This window comes from Homo sapiens, chromosome 3, assembly GCF_000001405.40.
Source record: "Homo sapiens chromosome 3, GRCh38.p14 Primary Assembly".
Taxonomy (NCBI): Eukaryota; Metazoa; Chordata; class Mammalia; order Primates; family Hominidae; genus Homo; species Homo sapiens.
This window is the reverse complement of record NC_000003.12, coordinates 170,451,917-170,472,256: the sequence shown is the minus strand read 5'-3', so window position 1 is coordinate 170,472,256 and position 20,340 is coordinate 170,451,917. Positions and strand designations below refer to the sequence as shown.

Here is a 20,340-nt window from a genome sequence, read left to right as displayed (position 1 = left end):
GCTGGATTACCAGTGCCCGCCACCGTGCCCAGCTAATTATTTTTTTTTTTTTAGTAGACGGGGTTTCACCATGTTGGCCAGGCTGGACTCGAACTCCTGACCTCAGGTGATCCACCTGTCTCGGCCTCCCAAAGTGCTGGGATTACAGGCATGAGCCACCGTGCCCAGCCAGAATATTGAAACACTTCTGTGTTTACTGCTAACTAGTCACTTTCCTGCACACACCACGCACCCCCACCATGACCCATCAACTCAAAAAAAATAATTCCAGCCCCACAGAGGAGCCTCCAGGACACTGCTGCAGCACAAAGGCTGACACCCTCTGATTTTTGCCATCACACCTGCCTTTAGTTTCTTACTGACATAAGTTATGTAACTACAAAGCAATGGCTCTAAGTTATCTGCTTTTAAGGTACAGCAGAATTAAATATCCAAATAGAATAAATAGTATTATTTGTGAATCAGCCATCTTATTCTTGAGGCTTGGTTTCAAATGACTTCTGGCTTATAGCAAAATCAAATCCACCCTCAAAAGATATTAGATTGCCCTCCGCAAGAGTTTACAAAAGTATATGATGCCGTTCCCAGTGACCATCTTGATTAGCGGTGCCCAAAAACTACTTCAAGCAATGATGGCATCATAGGAATACGTGTGTAGCCTCATAAGGTGAAGAGTTTTCCACACACATGTAATAATTTAGATAAATTTTAATACTGCTGGATATCAGATAATATTAAGAAATTATTATTAATTTTTAGTTGTGATGATACTGCTTTTTTTAGAGATGCATACTCAAATATTTACAAATTAAACCTATGATAGAAGGGATTTGTTTCAAAACAATCTGTAGAGAAGGGGTCAGGGGAGGGAGCATGAAGGGAGCTGGTGATTCATGATCCTATTCACTCCACTTTTGTATATGTTCTTCCAAATAAAACGTTAAGCCAAATTGTTTTCCATCCCTGGTAGGCGGGAGATGTAAGAGGGATAGAAGCGCCCTGGATTAGGGCATGGGGAGACCTGGAAGGATTCACTGTCCACCTGCTCACTGTGTGGCTGTGGACCTTCCCTTATGTTTTCTGTGCCCACTGTCCTGTTGTCCTGTCTGTGAAGTGTGCAATGCACATAATCACTCACACACACACACACACACACACACACACACCCCTTCCCAGACAGGTTAAAGGGAGTCTAAACAAAACAAGATACTGTTTGTGTAACATTTTGAGCTCTTTGGGACAAAGGTGCAACATCAACCATCCATCATTATCCTAACCCAGCACACAGAAATGCTTTGTGAAGTTTAGTTTAGATGATTCAGGATTCCCAGAACCCCTACAGATTTTTCAGAAACTACCTCATGCTTCATTCTCTAAGCCAACTAAAAAAAGGAGCAGAAACAAAACACCCTGCTTCCACACAGGAGGCGTGGAGCAGCTCTGTTTACTCCTCCGACACAAAGCCCTTGTTTATGTGGGACAGATGGTAATACGTTTCTCTTCTCTTCTCTCTCTCTCCCTCCCTCCCTCCCTTCATCTGTTCCTCTCTGTTTCTTTGTCCCCCTCCATTTTTCTTTTCTCCAATCCTTCTCAGTTTCACACCACTTTTCCTGAATTGACTCAAGGGCCAGCAAGAAAGATAGACACACAGAATGCCAAGCCCTAGGGGAACGGCTTTGCATCTACTATTTACTCTACCAGGCTGCATGCACACGGTCGTTTCTTGTTTCACAGTACTCACATTTGAAATGCATTTTTGAAGACAGAGTGATACACCTTTGAAACTCCAGGGGGTTCAGGGCAAACATGAAAAGACCCATAAATATTTATGTGGCAAGTTTCCATGGATTGTCTTCACAAAGTAAAAAGTAACCACAGTCAATATGTGAGAGCGCGCAGACACAGACACACACACATACACACACACACACACACACACACACACACATGTTCCTTCCAGGCCTGGCCACTCCCAAAGAACACATGTAAACCTCTTATCACATGTTTACTGCAGTGGGCATAGTCTGTAAACCAGCCTGGGGGAGGGGAGAGGAGGTGTGAAGGACTAGACACGCAAGAGACTTCTCTCCCTCCATGTATAAAGCTGGTTCCTCTCCTTCTCAGACCCAGGCAAGTCACTTATTCTTTCCCAGCCTCTGTTTCTTCTTCTGTAAAATGAAGGTTTTAGAATGCATAGGTGATCTATAGCATCTTTTCCAGCTCTAAATATCTATGACTCAAGGTTTTTAGAGAATTCCCATAATATGAATCTATCTGACACCCAAAATACCTTGTGGGGGCAGGGACAGGTCTGTTGGAATCGACAAACCAGTGATGAGTGATGTCAAACCAGTGACTGAACAATGACCTTTGTGGTGGCAGAGGAGAGACGTTTGGGGCAAAGGGAAAAGAAAAAGATGGTATTAAGTTCAGTAGGGAAATGAGTCGTCTATAAGCAAAGTCAGAGAAGGGCATCAGAAAGGAAAGAATTGGCATAATAGGTACCAAGCAGGAGTAGGAGGCAATATTTGGCATCTGCCTGGGTGTCTAGAAGAAAAGATGGCAAAAAAGCAAAGCAGTGCAAAAGGAGGTGTGCACAGGTCCTGCCTGGTCGCCTGAAATCCATTCTCAGATGCCAAACATGCTTCAGACAGAGGCATTCTCCAAGAACCAGCACACTGGCACTCTTAGAAGAGGCCTTAATGTGATGCCCTGTTCTACACAAGGATAATAACCATCCCCCATAGCCACCCCCCACCTACAGAAAAGAAAGAGTAAATACCCTGCTTTTAAAAGATGAATCATTATTTGAGCACTAATAGCTACATCTGCAAATAATTAACTCTAGGATTTATTACCAATTAGGACTATAAATCTGTGCTTACTTTGGCTCCTGGAAAGTTGATTTCACTGGGGAGTGTGGGAGGGAGGGGGGACAAAGTCATTTGAGACAAGGAGGGAGAAATCCAAGCTTAAAAAGGCACACTTCAAATTCAAAAGAGAGCAAGATTTCTCAAGCACCACAGCAGCAAAGCAGGCTTGACTTGCGGTTCTAAGCAAACCAGCCCAGCAGAAGCCTGCAGGGTTAGCAAAGTCAAAGAGACTGGTGCTACTCAGAGGAGGATGTTAGGGCCCGGGAAGGAGGTTGCATACTGTATGGACCCCAGTGCCTAGGCCATAGTGTGGGCTGAGTGGGCAGTGGAACACTGTGCCCATCAGGCACAGTTCATTATCTCAGGGACACTCTGACCATTGGAATCACCTGTGGAGTTTTAAAAACATACCTATGCTTGGGTTATACTGCAGACTAATTAAATCAGAATCTCCAGGATGGGGCTAGGGTATCAGAGTGGTTCAAAAAACACCCCCAGGTGACTTTCAAGTGCAGCCAGGGTTGAGAACCACCACTTACCTCATTTCATCCTCAAGCACTCCCATGTTAAGAGGGTTGCTATAGCTCTCATCGTTTTACAGAGAATGCTGAGGAACAGAGAGGCTAAGTAATGGGACCAGGGTTACACAGCTAACAGTGATGAAGGCAGGATTTGAACACAGAGCCCACAGTCTTACTTATCATGTTCTATGGACTCCAAGGTTATGGTTCCCAGACTTCCAGGCCCTGAACCTTCACAGTCTATTCAAGATAGAAAATGGGGACTCAGGCCAGGACTGATGGCTCATGCCTGTAATCCCAACACATTGGGAAGTGGAAGCAGGCGGATCACTTGAGTCCAAGAATTTGAGACCAGCCTGGGCAACATGGTGAAACTCCATCTCTCAAAAATACAAAAATTAGCTGGGCGTGGTGGCACATGCCTGTGGTCCCAACTACTCGAGAGGCCAAGGCAGGAGAATCGCTTGAGCCCATGAGGCAGAGACTGCAGTGAGCCGAGATCATGCCACTGCACTCCAGCCTGGACAACAGAGTGAGACCCTGTCTCAAAAAAAAAAAGAAAAGAAAAAGAAAATGGGTACTCATAAATGACTTTTATGCATGTTTTTTAAATCATAGAAATGAAACATTAGCATATATGAATGCTACATATTAACGAGGGGGGCAAGTTTCTTTCCTTTGATTGGGATGACATCAACACAGAGGTTGCACTGGACATTTCACGCTTATCAGGAGTTCTCACCCATTCATTCAACAAACATTAAGTGCCAATTTTCTGCAGAGTCTACGACCCTGTGCAGATAATCACACAACAGATGTTCTAAGGGACATAATAGTAGCATGCACTAGACACTCTGAGAGCACACAGAAGAAAGCAGGCAGCTTGGAGTGGCCATGATATATCACGCCTTTAGTGAGTGTAAAATGTCAAGGTAAATCACAGGATAATATATGCATGCTGCTAAGAGGTGAAACATGAGATAGAGTCCCTAACTGGAGGCAGAGAATAATCAAATCTTATAAGAACGTTGGGAATAAACTGTTGCTGATCCATAAATAGTTCACCCAGGGTAGAAAATGCAAATTCCTGGCTGGCAGCTATATGAGTGTAATGAGCCCGACGTCAGCATGGGAGGTGGGGACTGAGGTAACCTAGAGACCCTGTATCCTGTCTAAAGAGGCAGCCAGTTCTCAACACCAGCCAAAAATCACCATGTAGAAATGTGGATGCAGTGTTGTCAGACCTTTTGACTTTTCTAGGAAAATCTGTAAATATGGGTTACTTAACGCAAGATCTCCCAATTTTTAAAAGGCATCTAATTCAAGTATTTTCAAAACACCACATAAAGCAAAGAAAATACATCCCCGCCCCCACCGCCCCCCACCCCGCCAGCTTTGATTTCATCACTGAAGGTGATCTCTCTGCTAGTCCCAGGATCCCAAAGCAATTGCTTATTCACCTGTACCTTTCCCCTCGCCCCACAGGTCTGCTCATTTATTTTGGATATGGCATCTGGAACAGCACCCTGGAAATCAGCGCTCGAGAAGAGGCCCTGCACCAAAGCACGTACCAACGCTACGACGTGGATGACCCCTTCTCAGTGGAGGAGGGTTTCTCCTACGCCACAGAGGGCGAGAGCCAGGAGGACTGGGGCGGGCCCACTGAAGACAAAGGCTTCTATTACCAACAGATGTCAGATGCGAAGGCAAACGGCCGGACAAGTAGCAAAGCGAAGAGCAAAAGCAAACACAAACAGAACTCAGAGGCCCTGATTGCAAATGATGAGTTAGATTACTCTCCAGAGTAGGAGAAACACACAAGTGGGTAGAAATGGTGATGACTGATTTTCAGTAACTTAACCTGTGGGCTAGAAGGTGAAAACTTTTTTGGCTCTCATTTCACAAATCCAGCCTTCCCCAAATTCAATCCCTAGTCATAGCCTGTCATTTGCTACTTTTGCTCTTCAGGATAGTTCTGTTGAAGGGCTTAACCTGGGTCCCCTAACTGGTCGCCTTGTTAAATAAAATAAATAAATAAACAAGAGGCTATATGAAATTCCATCTTAGGTGCAACCACCAGAGCTGATGGTACCAAATGTTTCCTAGGCCTTTGCTTTGCTGGTTGAAGCCCAAGCAGGGGCTCTGGGCAGAAGGCAGAATTTCAGTCACCTGAGACATGGGGACAAAGCTCTGTTCTTGGCATGTCAGGCTGAGTGCTGCTCCCCGAGGTCAGGGTGGGTAGATGGGCATTGGCACTTCCTGAGCAAGCATCATTTTATCCTGCAATCTCACCCAAAATTAATTCATGGAAAAGACACATGCTTCTTTTTATTCACCAACATTCTCACAGCTTCCAAACTATAATTTTAGGATCCAGCAAAGTTCAGGGACTCTGGACCATTTTCCCAATGGTTTCAGATTCACCATAAAGCAGTCAGGCAGACCCAGTGATATGGTAAGAAGCACCATCAAAGCTCTATGTAAATGCCCAGAAGAAAATTAAATAACCATATCTTGCGGTAAAAGCCAGAAGGGCATTGGCAGAAATTAACTCTCTGTCATGGCCTCTCTTATATCAGACTGCAGCTCCTGGTGATATGATGAAAGCGGGCAAAGGTGGAGCATGATTTCATGGCACTGATATGCCTTGAAAAAGTAGGTTGTTTGTTTTATAATCAGATAAAAATTTTTACAAGGAGAAGTGAGCCAGCCACTGAGATCACATTGCAAATTCTCTTTCATATTTCTAAAATTATAAATTCTAAAGTTTTTGAGATAGGCAACCACTTGATTGGTGTGTGCTACTCTGAAAACAAAATAGGCTGAAGTATAGCGACTTAGGTAGTTGCATTCCATGAGATCACATTTCACTTCTGAACCTTATTCCTTGGGGCTAGCTCACTTTCAGAGGTGTATTTTTTTTTCCTGTTATTTCCCAGAGTAGTTTCACTGAAGCCCAGAGAAATATCTACCTGGTAAGATGTAAATTTGGGCCATAAAAGGGGCTATTAAAAGAATTTTCTCAGAAATAGAATAGATGAGAGAATTTGCAAAGGAAAAAAACACACATGGGCTACAATATAAATTCTACTCTTGGGTTACAAGAATTCCTGTGGCTGCACTGAGATACGTACAAATGTATGTGAAGGCACAATTTGAATCAAGCTATCATAGAATTAACCAAGCTATTAAAATTAATCAAGCTATTAATAAAATCTCTGTGAGGATTTCCTGAAAGAGGGACAAAAGAAGAAATTCCTTGTCCTTTCTCTCCTGGATGTATCAGTATGCCAAACGTTTTCCAGAACATATTCGCTAGCACTCAAGTCTGTTCTTTCTGAAAGGCTGAGGCTCATGCCATCTTGGCATGCTTTAGGATTATGGCAAGGAGGTAAAAGTCCATTTTTTCATTCAACTAACACTGGTTGAGAATAGACCCAATGCTAAGTGACAGGAATGAATAGAAGCATGGCACTTGCCCTTGGGGGCTACAGTCCATGGATGAGCAGCACTGGAGCCTGGTAAATGCAGATAAAACAACAAACTTGACAAGTCTCCAGGCTGATGCACTGGGTTTTAACATACATATAAAGATGAATTGAAACTAGTTTTTAAAAAATATGCTTTAAATAAATTACATATCGTAATCATAGCCAATGTATACCATTAAACTAAAATAACTGCAATTTTCTAGATATTTTTTATTCTTCTGTAGTCATTGTTTAGAACTCTGGTTTCCTGAGGTCATTTTGTCATTTTAATATCATGCTTGACAATGCTATGTTTTCTCTTCCCTAGAGTTAACCATAAAGATACAGTGCCTACTCTGTGAAATACAGCATTAGGAATTAATTATAAACTAATTATCAGTCATCTTTTGAAAACAAAGTTTTGAATTGGCTATAGGACTCAACAAATCTGCCTGGTGTAAATAGAATCTGTTAAGCTTGATACATATCTAGATAGATGAGGAGGGGTTGTATTCATTAAGCATGAGAATAGAGAAATAGGAGTGCAAAATGGCAAAATCTTAACGTGGGTGAAAGAGCTTCCTTTTACTAGTGAGGTTTAAGTATTAAAGTAACAATAGCCTGGTGGCAGATGAATGCAATTTCTATAGGATGGGAATGGAAAATGTATGCTTTGGTTAACACCATTGCTGTTGACTTCATGCAGATTCTATTAAGCACTCTCATTTCAGGAGCCATTTTTCCCACATAGTATATTAGTATATTTTAAGCTTAGCTCCCTTTATTTTTCTAAAGTTGATAAATCACCTCCCTAGCAACCTTAGTTTTAAAAAAAAAATCACTAAGATAGAAAAAGTATTTTCAGGTACATAGACATGTTTGTCCTCAGGTTTACCTGCTTCTGTGAACAGTCCCAGATTTTACAATGCAGTTTTCAAATACCATCAATCACTACAATGACAATATTACTATTTTCTTAACAGGTTTCTAAACGATGTATGTGTGGGATCACATTAAAAGTAAGATCACCTTATAATTATCTTAGAAACTTTGCCCCTTGAAGGGAGTCCAAGGAAGACCTACATTTTATTGAATTCTGAATAGCAAAAGCTCTCCGAGTGAGATTTCATTGTGTGGATTTGTGGTTTGGAGCCAATTACTTGATTTTCTTCAGATTTTATTCTACTTATTTATTGGTACTCTGCTTCATTTCAAAAGGATTTGAGGCAGCTACTAAAATATATATAATACAAAACAAAAATTAAGTGAGGAACTCAGAGCAAACAAAAATAGAAACAGAAAGGATAAGACAAAACTAGACGTATATTTAGTACATAAATGCAGAACCCTGACATGCTTTACTAAATTTGCCAATGAGTGACACCATGAAAAATAATAGAATTAGTGGTAATGACAAGAAGAAGTACTTCTGCATGATAAGAACAAATCTTTCCCCATGCAGGTAGAGGTTTGAAATAGCATAGATCATTAAAATCCACAGGTAAGCTTCAAACCTAGATTTTGCTAGCTACATGTGCCTGGCATATAGTGTGTATTCAAGAAATACCTGATGATTGACAGAATGAATGAATTGGAGGAAAATGAAATATTTATTCAACAATTACTTGTGGAGTGCCTATTATGTACTATGGCAGATATTGATATCGTAAGTCAGATAAAAATCCAGCTCTTAAGAAGTAGAGGAAATAGAGCTTGGTGTGGTGGCATGTGCCTATGATCCCAGATAGTTGAGAGACTGAGGGAGGAGGATCACTTGAGCCCAGGAGTTCAAGGCTGCAGTGAGCTATGATCACACCACTGTACTCCAGCCTGGGTAACAGAAGAATACCCTGTCTCTTAAAAAGGAAAATCAAATAGGGGAAATGGGATATATAAATAAAGAACAATAGTGAATGTGTCAGGTGAGATGACGGACTTGTAATGTGCTGTGGGGGGTCAAATATGAAGAAGGCCTTCTTCCTCTGGAAAGGTCATAAAGAATGTCACACTTGTGTTGGAACTTGTGAAGTGGGTAGAATTTTATCAAGTAGAAATGAGAGAAAGGCATGCCAAGCAAAGGATCGGCATGAATAAGGTCTACTAGTTTGTGGTCCTCTGGCTAAGAATTTGTGCTGTGCCTCCATTAAGAGAAAGCAAGGAGCTAGTTTGCCTGGAGCACATGATTTATGCATGACTTATACATGCAACAATAAGAAATAATGCTAGGAAGGCAGGTGAGGGATCACTCACAGAGAGACTTGAATGTCACACTGAGCTGACTGGCTTTCCTCGGGTGAGAGAGTGGGAAATAATTGGGGAACTGACGAAAGTGTGAATCCAGGAAGGCTGAACTTTAAGAAAGCTGAGACGGTGGCTTCCTTACCTATGCAAGGAACTAACAAGCCACATATACACTCCAAATTGATTTAACAAATTAAAGAGAAAAATAGCTGTACTTTGAGTCCTGTGTCTGCATTCATCATTAACCTAAGAAAATACAGCCATTTAATACGTGGACAAGCAACACAATTTAACAGCCACTTTAAAGTTTTCAACAATAGGTTTCAACAACTAAACCTAACAACTTTTTATATCTATCTAATCTAAACAGTAAAATCTCAGCTCCAGGTTTTACTGAGCTTGAGTGCTACTTTTTTTTTTTTAGACAGAGTCTCATTCTGTCACCCAGGCTGGAGTGCAGTGGCATGATCTTGGCTCACTGCAACCTTCACCTCCCGGGTTCAAGCTATTCTCCTGCCTCAGCCTCCCAAGCAGCTGGGATTATAGGCGTGTGCCAGTTCTACTTCTTAGTAACAAACTAGTAGCTAATCAAATGCCTACATAATGGTCATGATAAATCTGTTTAAATAAATGGCGGGCGGAAGGGAGTTGTTGAATTTAACAATCCATCCTTCTTCAGAATCTATAGGTCAGCCAGAATATAAATCTAGTAATTATTGAAAAACAAAACACAAACTCCTTCAAAGAAATCTCTCTCCTCTATTCTGCTGAAAAGGGTTGGTAAACCTGACATCCTTTCTTTTATTGGAAGACAAATCCAACATTTGTTAGACATCCAACATTTGTTGGAAGTCTACCTTACAAGAAACCACCTCTTATCTGCAACATAAACAGAAGCTACATCAGGTTGAAAATCCACATAGAAGACTGGAGAAAATTGCCGTCCCCTTTCGCACTAGGTTTTACCAGGGGCCCAAGATGTCAGAGGAAAGTCCGCGGAGGGCCAAACACAGGTTTACCTAATTATGAATCTCAGATTAGAATGTCTTATTGTGTGGAAAAGTCAGAACTCAGGAAATGTGTCTGAAGCCAGAGCGGGGGTCTGCTTACGGAGTCTACGCAGCGGGTAGGGGTCCACTATTGGAGTATAAACCTCAGGTCAGTGAGTAGTGCAGAGGTGTCCCTAACTTCCAATGGAGGGAAAGAGAGGAGAGCAAAGGAAACACATCCAGAAGTCGCCACGAGGGCTGTGTGCCAGCGCTCCATTTTCATGCTGTTTGGAACAAGACGTGTCAAGGAAGATGTTTCTATCCAAAGTCTTCATGGAGCCTCTGCTTCCCCTGTACCTGTGTAGCTCCCTGAAACTGAGGACCCACGTGTCTGCAAAGACCTCTGGAGATCCTAAGAGAGAGAGGCACCAGCAGGTAACCAGTGGTGGCCTGGCCACGAAAGAGTATTTGAAATTCAACAGTGAGCAAGTGCAGAAACAGCATCCCAAACCGCAGGCCCCACCACACGCAGGAACCAGAAAGCTGAAGTTTCACCAAGGAGTTTACTTAGTATTTCTCGCTGGGAATGGGGATGGGTAGCAAAAAGCCCCTTTCATGTACATAATGGTTGGTCCTATGTCCTACTTTTATTTTCTCTAAGAGTTTTAGAAGAAAGGCTGTTTTAATTTTTTTTTCTCCTTAAGAGCAACTTCCTTTTTAAAATGCTTTCCTCTTCTTGTCCTGCTTGAGTAATGCAGGCATCATTCTGAAATCATTCTGAAACAGCTAGGCAGTCGCCTTTTGCCAAAATTACTTCTCTAAGAAAATAGAGTGTTCTTTTTTTTAGGACTTAGAACCCACAAGGGGTGAGTGGAAGTTTTGTAGCCCATCAAAGGTGAATATGTGTTCTGCAGTATCAACTAAAACAGTGTACAAAATCATTAAACTGGGCCGGGCGCAGTGGCTCATGCCTGTAATCCCAGCACTTTGGGAGGCCGAGGCGGGTGGATCACCTGAGGCCAGGAGTTCAAGACCAGCCTGACCAACATGGAGAAACCCCATCTCTACTAAAAATACAAAATTAGCCAGGTGTGGTGTTGCATGCCTGTAATCCCAGCTATTAGGGAGGCTGAGGCAGGAGAATCGCTTGAACCCGGGAGGCAGAGGTTGCAGTGAGTCGAGATCACACCATTGCACTCCAGCCTGGGCAATAAGAGCAAAACTCCGTCTCAAAAATAATAATAATAATAATTTAACTGTGTTCTGCACACACAGAATTACAAAATCCCTATAGGACTTTCACAGATAGCTTTGGGCTTAAGGTCTTCGGACAACAGGTAGTTCTAATTTCTTACTCTTTGGGACATTTAGTACATGTTGGTACACATAAGGAAAGAAAATGGCTTATATTAGAGCTAGGAAACAGGGGCAGCCTGGATTTTTATGGTAGGAACTCACTCTGTGCTTTTTTTTTTTTCTGTTAAGTTTTCTTGACACTGACTTCGGTAACATTGGCTAAAGGGAATTGTGAGTCATGTGAATTTCACCTGCAGTGCAGACTTTAAAGGACTGTGTTCATTCTGATTTGGGGATGAAGAGAATGTTCCATGCACATCTATTGATTGGTCTTGGCAGTTGCTGATACGCTTGTCTCATTCACACTCCCAAAGGCGAGGATTTACCCTAGAAATCATAAACCCCCACTTTCCAAAGCAAAGATGCTGTTAATGTTATGATGGTGCATAAATACCTCAACTGTCTGGGCTGAGAGAGGGGGCTGCAGGTTTTTAAGAGAGCAGCTATAGTCCTCATTCCATGTAGTCACATCATCTGATGACAGGACTCCACATTCTAGCTTTTCTCACTGTGGAAAAGAAACGTTACTGTTTAATTAATATCCAAAGTTATAAATACAGCTTGTAAATTTTACTAACTTGTTTCTTTTTCGTTTCGTCCTTGAGAAGTACAACTTGCATTTACAGATGGTAATTCCTAGTGTTGTTCTCTGCTATCTTTTTTTGGTATGAAATTGCTGTATTTGTTAAAGTTTGTTCGTTTTGTGGTTTTTAATTCCCATTGGTGTGCTGTACAATGTAGTGTATCATGAAGAAAGAAATAATATGCAGATGTATTATGAAATGTGTTTTATTTTCAAATGTGTGGTGTTGACAATATATTGATTTATCAAGATACTAAGGGAAAATTCTAAATTTAACAAAATGTGTATATTTTAATAAATGCATAAAGCTTTATTGTGTGCCTTTAAATTTAAAAATGGGTTTATAAAGAAAGTCAGAAACAAAAGTGTCTTACTATAAAATATCCATAGTAATGTAAAGCTTTTACACGAGACTACCAAAAAAAAAGAAAGAAAAGAAAAAGGAGCCTTCCCATATTTTGTTAACCTTAACCAGTATCTGAAGTCTGTTACTTTTTTTCCATTCTTAAATGGAGATGAATAAGTGAATTTCGCCTTAAGTGTTTCAATTGTCCTTTGTAGAAAAGCCAGATAAATGAGTTCACTTTGAATTGCATTATTGTGGAAAATTCATTTTCAGAATAAAACATTTTAAAAAGTACAGCTAATCGACTAATAAAATTTAAATTTGAAGAAAGTCAGTGCCATCCTACCCCTTTAAATTTACTTTACTTCCATGAGGAGAACATGAAAGTTCCACTTTAGTGGGCTCTCAGAAGAACCTGACCTGGCGCTGTCTCCCTCTCACGTTCTTCTAACAAGGGTACAGGGCTCTCTCAGGGACCCTGCTCACTACACTGCCTCATTAATTACCCCTCTCCCGGTGCAGTCCTACTCAAGCTGCAGCCCCCCACACCCTCTGCACCATCTTATGTCTAATACAGAACATTCAGTTCATTGCCCCCATTTATTTTAAAGAACAATTAGAAGAACAGTATCTGCCTACAGTCCCAAACCAAATTACCATAGCATTGATGGTGGCTTAATTGATCTTACTTGTTGATGGCGCAGGTGGTGATACCTGGAGAAAAAGGTAGAGGGTGTAGCAGGGCCACATATTTTCCATATCACATGGGATGCAAAGAAACTGCCATATCTTTATTTCCTGCAACTCCCTGATCTCCCTTGCAATGGTCCACCTGCCTCGATAGCAGGGGAAGAAAAACAATCCATAAATATATTAATGTTTTATATATAAATGTATTGTGTAATCATGTCTTAAATGTATTAAGGTATGACGGAATCCCAGTTGATTTCCATTTGCTGTTTTTAGATGGTTGAGTCCATTTGGGATAAATGCTCAGTCTTTTGGATTTCCTCCCTTCCCCTTGCTTCTCTCCAAATTACTTCTGGAAACAGAGCTTCTGTGATCTCATAAGGAGAGGGGTGCAAATGAGAACTAGGGTACTCTGGACCCCTTAGCTCCTGCAGAATAGCTACCTGGACTGCCCCTGGACAGGTGACAACTGAGGAGAACCTGACCCATCCAGCCATGTGGGCTTCATGATGACATTCACTTTCAACGTCTGCAGGTCTGGCACTGAACCCAGTCATGAAGTTCCGGCACACTGATGCCTCTTCATTCAGACTCCAGGCCTGGGCTGGCCCACTGAGCCCTCAGCACTTTAGAATCCACTTCTTGTCACCCTGAGTCTTGGGAAATCAGAATCACCACGTTAGACTCGAGTATCCAGCCACTTCCTTCACTAATAATACACATTCATTCCTGAGCTCTGCTCATTGAGAATTGGAGCCAATGACATGCTGCAGCTTGCTCATGAAAATGATTGGTAACTTACAACTTTTGTGAGTCAGTTGCTAAATACAACATTATTAAAACTTGAGTTCTATAAACTTACAAATAAATTAATTACATTGAAAACAAAGGCAATAAATACTCAAAGCTATTTTACTATGTTTTACTGTTACCTATGCTCTCGAGGTTATTTACAATTATTATATCTGCATGGCAGAAATACTACATAATGATGAGCTATTGCACATCTCTTCCTCAACTCTATGTTTAGTGAATTCACATTGGAAGCTTGAAATCAGCCGTAGTGGAAGGATTTACACCATGGGAATTGGAAAATGCTACAAAATCAGAACTGTTTTTCTCTCTCAGAGAAATGGCTGTACACATTTACCAGCAGATCACTGCTTATATCCCTTCCAAGTACGTATACCATTACCCCCAACACACAATGTTTTCAGGCTTTCTCACTCCTACCATACCTCCACCCACAGAGGAGGGAAAGCCTGGACAAGCATTTCATCCCCTCTATTCTACCTCTATTTTTCTTCCCCTGTCCACCATCCATCAGGACCAGCAGGGGCTGGGTTTCCACTCTTTTTTCCTTCTGACAAGGACTCCCTCTACATATTATCTTACATATGTCCTCCTGGGGACAATAGCCTCATAACTGGTGAAAGGATTGCCCTTTTTTTTTTTTTTAACCACAGAAGAGACTACAAATAGTATCCAAGAGGAGTCATAGGACAATTTAGAAGTAGGGATTACCAGGATCAAAAATAATTGGATTAATATTCCAAACTACAACCTTATTACATGGGTCTTAAAATTAAAAGGTTATTCAATAACAAGTATTGGGGAGGATGTGAAAAAATTAGAACCCTTGTGTACTGATGGGAACGTAAAAGGGTATAAACTTTATGAAAAACAGTATGGCAGTTCCATGGCCGGGCGCGGTGGCTCACGCCAGTATTCCCAGCACTTTGGGAGGCTGGGGCGGGCAGATCACTTGAGGTCAGGAGTTTGAGACCAGCCTTCCCAACATGGTGAAACCCCGTCTCTACTAAAAATACAAAAATTAGCCAGACGTGGTGGCACACACTTGTAATCCCAGCTACTTGGAAGGCTGAGGTGGGAGGATTGCTTGAACTCAAGAGTTTGAGGCTGCAGGGAGCTGAGATTGTGCCACTGAACCCCAGCCTGAGCAACAGAGTGAGACTCTGTCTCAAAACAAAACAAAAACAAACAAAAAAGAAACAGTGTGGCAGTTCCTCAAAAAATTCAATGTATAATTACCACATAATCCAGCAATCCCAGTTCTGTGTATATATCTAAAAGAATTGGAAGCAGCATTTCCAAGGATATTTGTACACCCATGTTCATAACAACACTATTCACAATAGCTAAAACATGAAAACAACCCAACTGTCCACCAATGAGTGAATGGATAAGCAAAATATGACCTATACATACAATGGAATATTCAGCTTAAAAAGGAATGACATTCTGCCATATGCTATAACATGGATGAACTTTGAAAACATGCTGAGTGAAATAAGCCAATCAGCCAAGCTCGGTAACTCACACCTATAATCCCAGCACTTTGGAAGGGTGAGGCAGGGAGATTGCTTGAACCCAGGAGTTCAAGATCAGCCTGGGAAACATGAGGAAACCCAGTTTCTACAAAAAATACAAAAATTAGCTGGGCATGGTGGTGCATGCCTGTAAACCCAGCTACTCAGGAGGCTGAGGTGGGTGGATCCCTTGACCAGCCTAGGCAACATGACAACCCCATCTGTACAAAAAAATATGAAAATGAGCCAGGTGTGGTGGCGGATGCCTGTAGTCCCAGCTATTCGGGAGGCTGAGGTGGGAGGATTGTTTGAGCCTTGGTGCTCAAGGCTGCAGTAAGCCATGATCTTGCCACTGCACTCCAGCCTGGGCAACAGAGCAAGACTCAAAAAAAAAAATCAAATACTTTCACAAATTATGCATCCAGCAAAGGTCTAACATCCAGAACCTATAGGGAACTTAAACAAACCAACAAGCAGAAAACAAATAACCCCATTAAAAAATGGGCAAAGGATATAAACAGACATTTCTCAAAAGAAGACATACAAGTGGCCAACAAACATATGAAAAAATGCTCAGCATCACTAATGATCAGAGAAATGCAAAGCAAAACCACAGTGAGATACCATCTCACACCAGTCAAAGTGCCTTTTTAAAAAGGCAAAAAACAACAGATACTGGAAAGGTTGCAGACAAAAAGGAACACTTACACACTGTTCGTGGGAATATAAATTAGTCCAGCCACTGTAAAAAGCAGTCTGGAGATTTCTCAAAGAACTTAAAACAGGCCGGGCACAGTGGCTCACTCCTGTAATCCCAGCTGTTTGGGAGGCTGAGATGGGTGGATCACTTGAGGTCAGGAGTTCAAGAACAGCCTGGCCAACATGGTGAAATCCCATCTCTAAAAATACAAAAATTAGCCAGATGTGCTAGCGCACATCTGTAATCCTAGCAACTTGGGAGGCTGAGGCAGGAGAGTCACTTGAGCCTAGGAAGTAGAGGTTGCAGTGAGCCGAGATCACACCACTACACTCCAACCTGAGCAACACAGCGAGACTCCATCTCAAAAAAAAAAAAAAAAAAAAAAAAAAAACAGAGCTACCATTTGACCCAGCAATCCCATTACTGGGTATATACCCAAAAAAAATAATTGTTCTACCTTCTGCCAAAAAGACACACGAACTTGTACATTCATCACTGCACCATTCATAATAGCACAGACATAGAATCAACCCAGGTGCCCTATCAATGGTAGATTGTATAAGGAAAATGTGGTACAGATATACCATGGAATACTATGCAGCTGTAAAAAAGAATGAAATCATGTCTTTTGCAGCAGCATGGATGCAGCTGGAGGCCATAATCTTAAAAAAAATTAACATAGGAACAGAAAACCAAATACCACATGTTCTCATTTATAAGTGGGAGCTAAACACTGAGCATTCATGGATATAAATATGGGAACAACAGACACTGTGGACTACTTGGGGTTGGGGAAAGAACTACCTATTGGGTGCTATGCTCACTACCTGGGTGATGGAACCCATACTCCAAACCACAGCATCACGCAATAACCCCATGTAACAAAGCTGCACATGGACCCCTGTATCTAAAATAAAAGTTGAAATTTTAAAAAATAATAAATACTTGATTAGAAATTTAGGAGATCTTCATAAGCCAAACAGTTCTTCCACATTTTATTCCCAGCTATCAACAGTTCGCTGACTGGCAAAGAGAGCCCTTTCTGTGCCAAATTCTCAAATTCCTCCTCTTTCCCCACCTGAGGGTAGGCCCTTCCATGCTCTCATCAGCCTCAATCAAATCCAGGGCAGAAAAAACACCCAGCTCTGAGGCTCAGAGAGAAAACCACATGCTCCCATTTCTAAAACCTAAAAATTCAAACTTTTCGAACTTTTATTATATATATGTGTTAGCCTGATGCTTACCCATCAGAGCCATGCAGAGTGTTTTTAGGAAGGAATGAGCCCTTTGTAGGTCAATTAACTCGATGAGATAAGCATTGCAGCAGGCTTTCCTTCAGAGAGGGGAAATACGAATGATTTCTGACTCTAACTTCAAACAGAGCAACAGGAATGCAATTTGGAACATAATCCAAAGAGGAAATAGTCCATCCCAATTCAATTCTGGTGGCTGGAAGACTGATTTAATTTCCTTCCTAGTGGAGACACTCCTCACAGGGTGGGGTGGGGAGGAGCGAGGGGTTTCCTGGCCACGGGATTTCCCTGTTTCATGAAGCTCTATTTCCAAAGCAGCCCCTTTCATGTACTGAGATTAAGTTTAAGATGCGGATGCAATGTCCTTGGCTTCCTCACTCGTCATGTCAATCTTTTAAGAGAAGGTGGAGATTGGATTAACCAACGTTGATGGAAAGGGCAGGGAAGGAGATGTCCTCCAAGGATGCTTCCATAGCAAGCTGTGAGCCTTGAGGAGCCGCAGAAGAAAGCACCTCTGCCCTATCTGCTCTCTGATGCCAGAAATTCCTCCATTGGAAACAAAGTCCCGCGTTCCTCAATAAGGAGATTGTTAAGTGCCTTCACAGTTAACTCCCCCTGGAAGAAGGAACACAGCGTCTTAATTCACCCACGTTGAGATATGAACGACTGACATCATCAGTTCCTTCTGAGAAAGCAGGTCTTCACAAGCCATGAGAAAAAATATTCTGAGGTCCCTGGGTGCCTGAGAGGGAATTAAGGGGACTCAAGTACAGAAGGGAGAGGCCAGGGTCCCAAAGACATACTTCACAACTTTTCCCCAAGATAGCGCTAAATACAACAAGGACTGGAAGACACCATAAACCTGCCCTGAAGTGAAATCCCCAAGGACCACTCTGAGGGGAGAGATGGCGGTGGGGGGGCGGGGGGGTGGAGCAAAGAGGCTCGGACTTAGAGAGACCAGGATCGCCATTGCTGTCTATGTAAATGCAGGCAAGCCAGGAGGGCAGTGAACGTGCTCTCCTGCTTCCTGCTGCACGCTGGCACCTAGTGCGGAGCCTGGGGCACAAGAGGCACTCAATAAATATTTCCTGAAGGAGTGAATACATACAAGTTAAGTTTTCCGGCCGGGTGCAGTGGCTCACACCTGTAATCCCAGCACTTTGGGAGGCCGAGGAGGGCAGATAACTTGAGTGACTTCGAGACCAGCCTGGCCAACATGGTGAAACCTCGTCTCTACTAAAAATACGAAAACTAGCCAGGCGTGGTGGCGGACGCCTATAATCCCAGCTACTCAGGAGGCTGAGCCAGGAGAATCGCTTGAACCAGGGAGGCGGAGATTGCAGTCAGCTGGGATAGCGCCATTGCACTCCAGCCTGGGGTAACAAGAGCGAAACTGTGTCTCAAAAAAAAAAAAAAAAAGGAGTTAAGTTTTCCCTCATCATCCAGATACCCTCGCTATGCTCCCGCCAAAAGCAGAGAACAATTTCAATCACTCTGTTTAAATATTCAACAGTTCTATCTGAAAGAATTCAGATCCTTTAATCACTTTTAGAAAATGATCCTAAGAAAATAAATCACCAGATGTATTTATCTGTAACTACAGGGGAAAAAAATACCAAAAAAAAAATTGAAATCGACTTAATGCCCCAAACTAGAAATTGTTTAAATTAATTATGGTGTATCTATAAAACTCAATACTGTATAGCCATCTAAAAACAAGTTTTCAAAGAATGTTTAATGACATAAGGAATGGCAATTATGTTAAATTGTAAAAGTAGGATGCAAAATGTATATTTAGTATATATTTAGTTTTGAATAAGTGTGTATGTTATATAGCATAGAAAAATATTTGGAAGAAGATTATATAAAGTGTTAATGATTGTTACCTCTAAAAATTCTGATTTGGGGTGGTTTTGCATTTTCTTTTTCATACTTTTTTGTTTTCTCTAGCTGTTCTTCAAAGCATATTTTACTTTTCTAATCAGAAATAAAAATAATCTTTATTTCTTATGACAGAAGGGCCTTTTCAAATATTTGTCATGTTCTCACTGACAAACCAAGAAGGCATCCTGGCACCTTTTTCCAAACAATGACACAAATAATAGAAGCTAGCCTCTCAAGGCCACATCATACACAGGCCACTCTCTCTACATGGCATATATAGGTTTAGGATGCTTATATTCCATCAGCAGAAGGAAGTCACACTCAGAGTTCATTAGCTTGGATGTCTGGCCTACATACATATTGGTTTTGTTTTGTTTCTTTCAGGATGTAAGTATGATTTAATCATTTCATACATATAAATTCTCAGTTAGGAAGAAAAGTGTATGGGGGTTCTGGAAATATGGTCACCTTCATGATAGCATAGAATACCATATCTATAGGTCAGCCTTGAACTTAGATGTCATTGATCTCTGAAGAATGTCATAACACTGCCTTATTCATAACATAGTGCTACAACATAAACCCCAAACATATATATTGTTAAGGACTAAATATTAGTGTGAATTTGTTCCAGATGTCAAAGATTTCCAGAAAATTACAATTTTAAAGGACAAATGCATACATCTGTGTATTTCACTGTAAATATTCAGCTTAATTGTTCCACCAAATCTGGGGATACCGCTTGCCATAATGGCCAATAATTATTTGTTAAATCAGATCGAACAGAATTTTATCCACATCTGCCAAAAATGTAATTATGTATAAAATGTGTATATGGTTCATGATTTGTAAATGAAATATATCCTTCACTAAGGTCATTTTTCCCCTTAAAATCTTCAGTGGCTCCCTACTGCCAACAGAGCAAAGCCCCTCACAGCCGCATCACACCCAGCTCTCCAGGTTCATGGCTGCCCCTCCCCCAGGCATCTTATATCCTGACCTCAACCAGCTCCTCAGTGTTTCCTGAGCACACTCTCTTTTCTTGTGTCTTCTTGAATGTCCTTGGCCCACTTGTTGGTTCAGCATACTCCCATTTATTCTTCA

The 20,340-nt window shown here is 41.5% G+C and overlaps 1 protein-coding gene and 1 long non-coding RNA gene across 4 annotated transcripts in view; one reads left to right on the top strand and one right to left on the bottom strand.

Annotated features, from left to right (window-relative positions):
* The window catches only part of SLC7A14-AS1 (SLC7A14 antisense RNA 1), a 287,921-nt gene extending 282,949 nt beyond the window's left edge, over positions 1 to 4,972 (bottom strand). For 2 of the 3 annotated variants that reach the window (NR_135556.1, NR_135555.1), the window contains exon 1: positions 4,861 to 4,972. This is a non-coding gene — a long non-coding RNA (SLC7A14 antisense RNA 1). Of the gene's footprint in view, positions 1 to 4,854 lie in introns of all 3 variants that reach the window. The other variant, NR_135557.1, reaches the window with a different exon arrangement.
* SLC7A14 (solute carrier family 7 member 14) overlaps positions 1 to 12,709 on the top strand; it is a 126,528-nt gene extending 113,819 nt beyond the window's left edge. Inside the window, exon 8 of the mRNA NM_020949.3 lies at positions 4,880 to 12,709. Coding sequence (NP_066000.2) covers positions 4,880 to 5,202 — 323 coding nt within the window. The 3' untranslated portion in view covers positions 5,203 to 12,709. The remainder of the gene's footprint in view (positions 1 to 4,879) is intronic.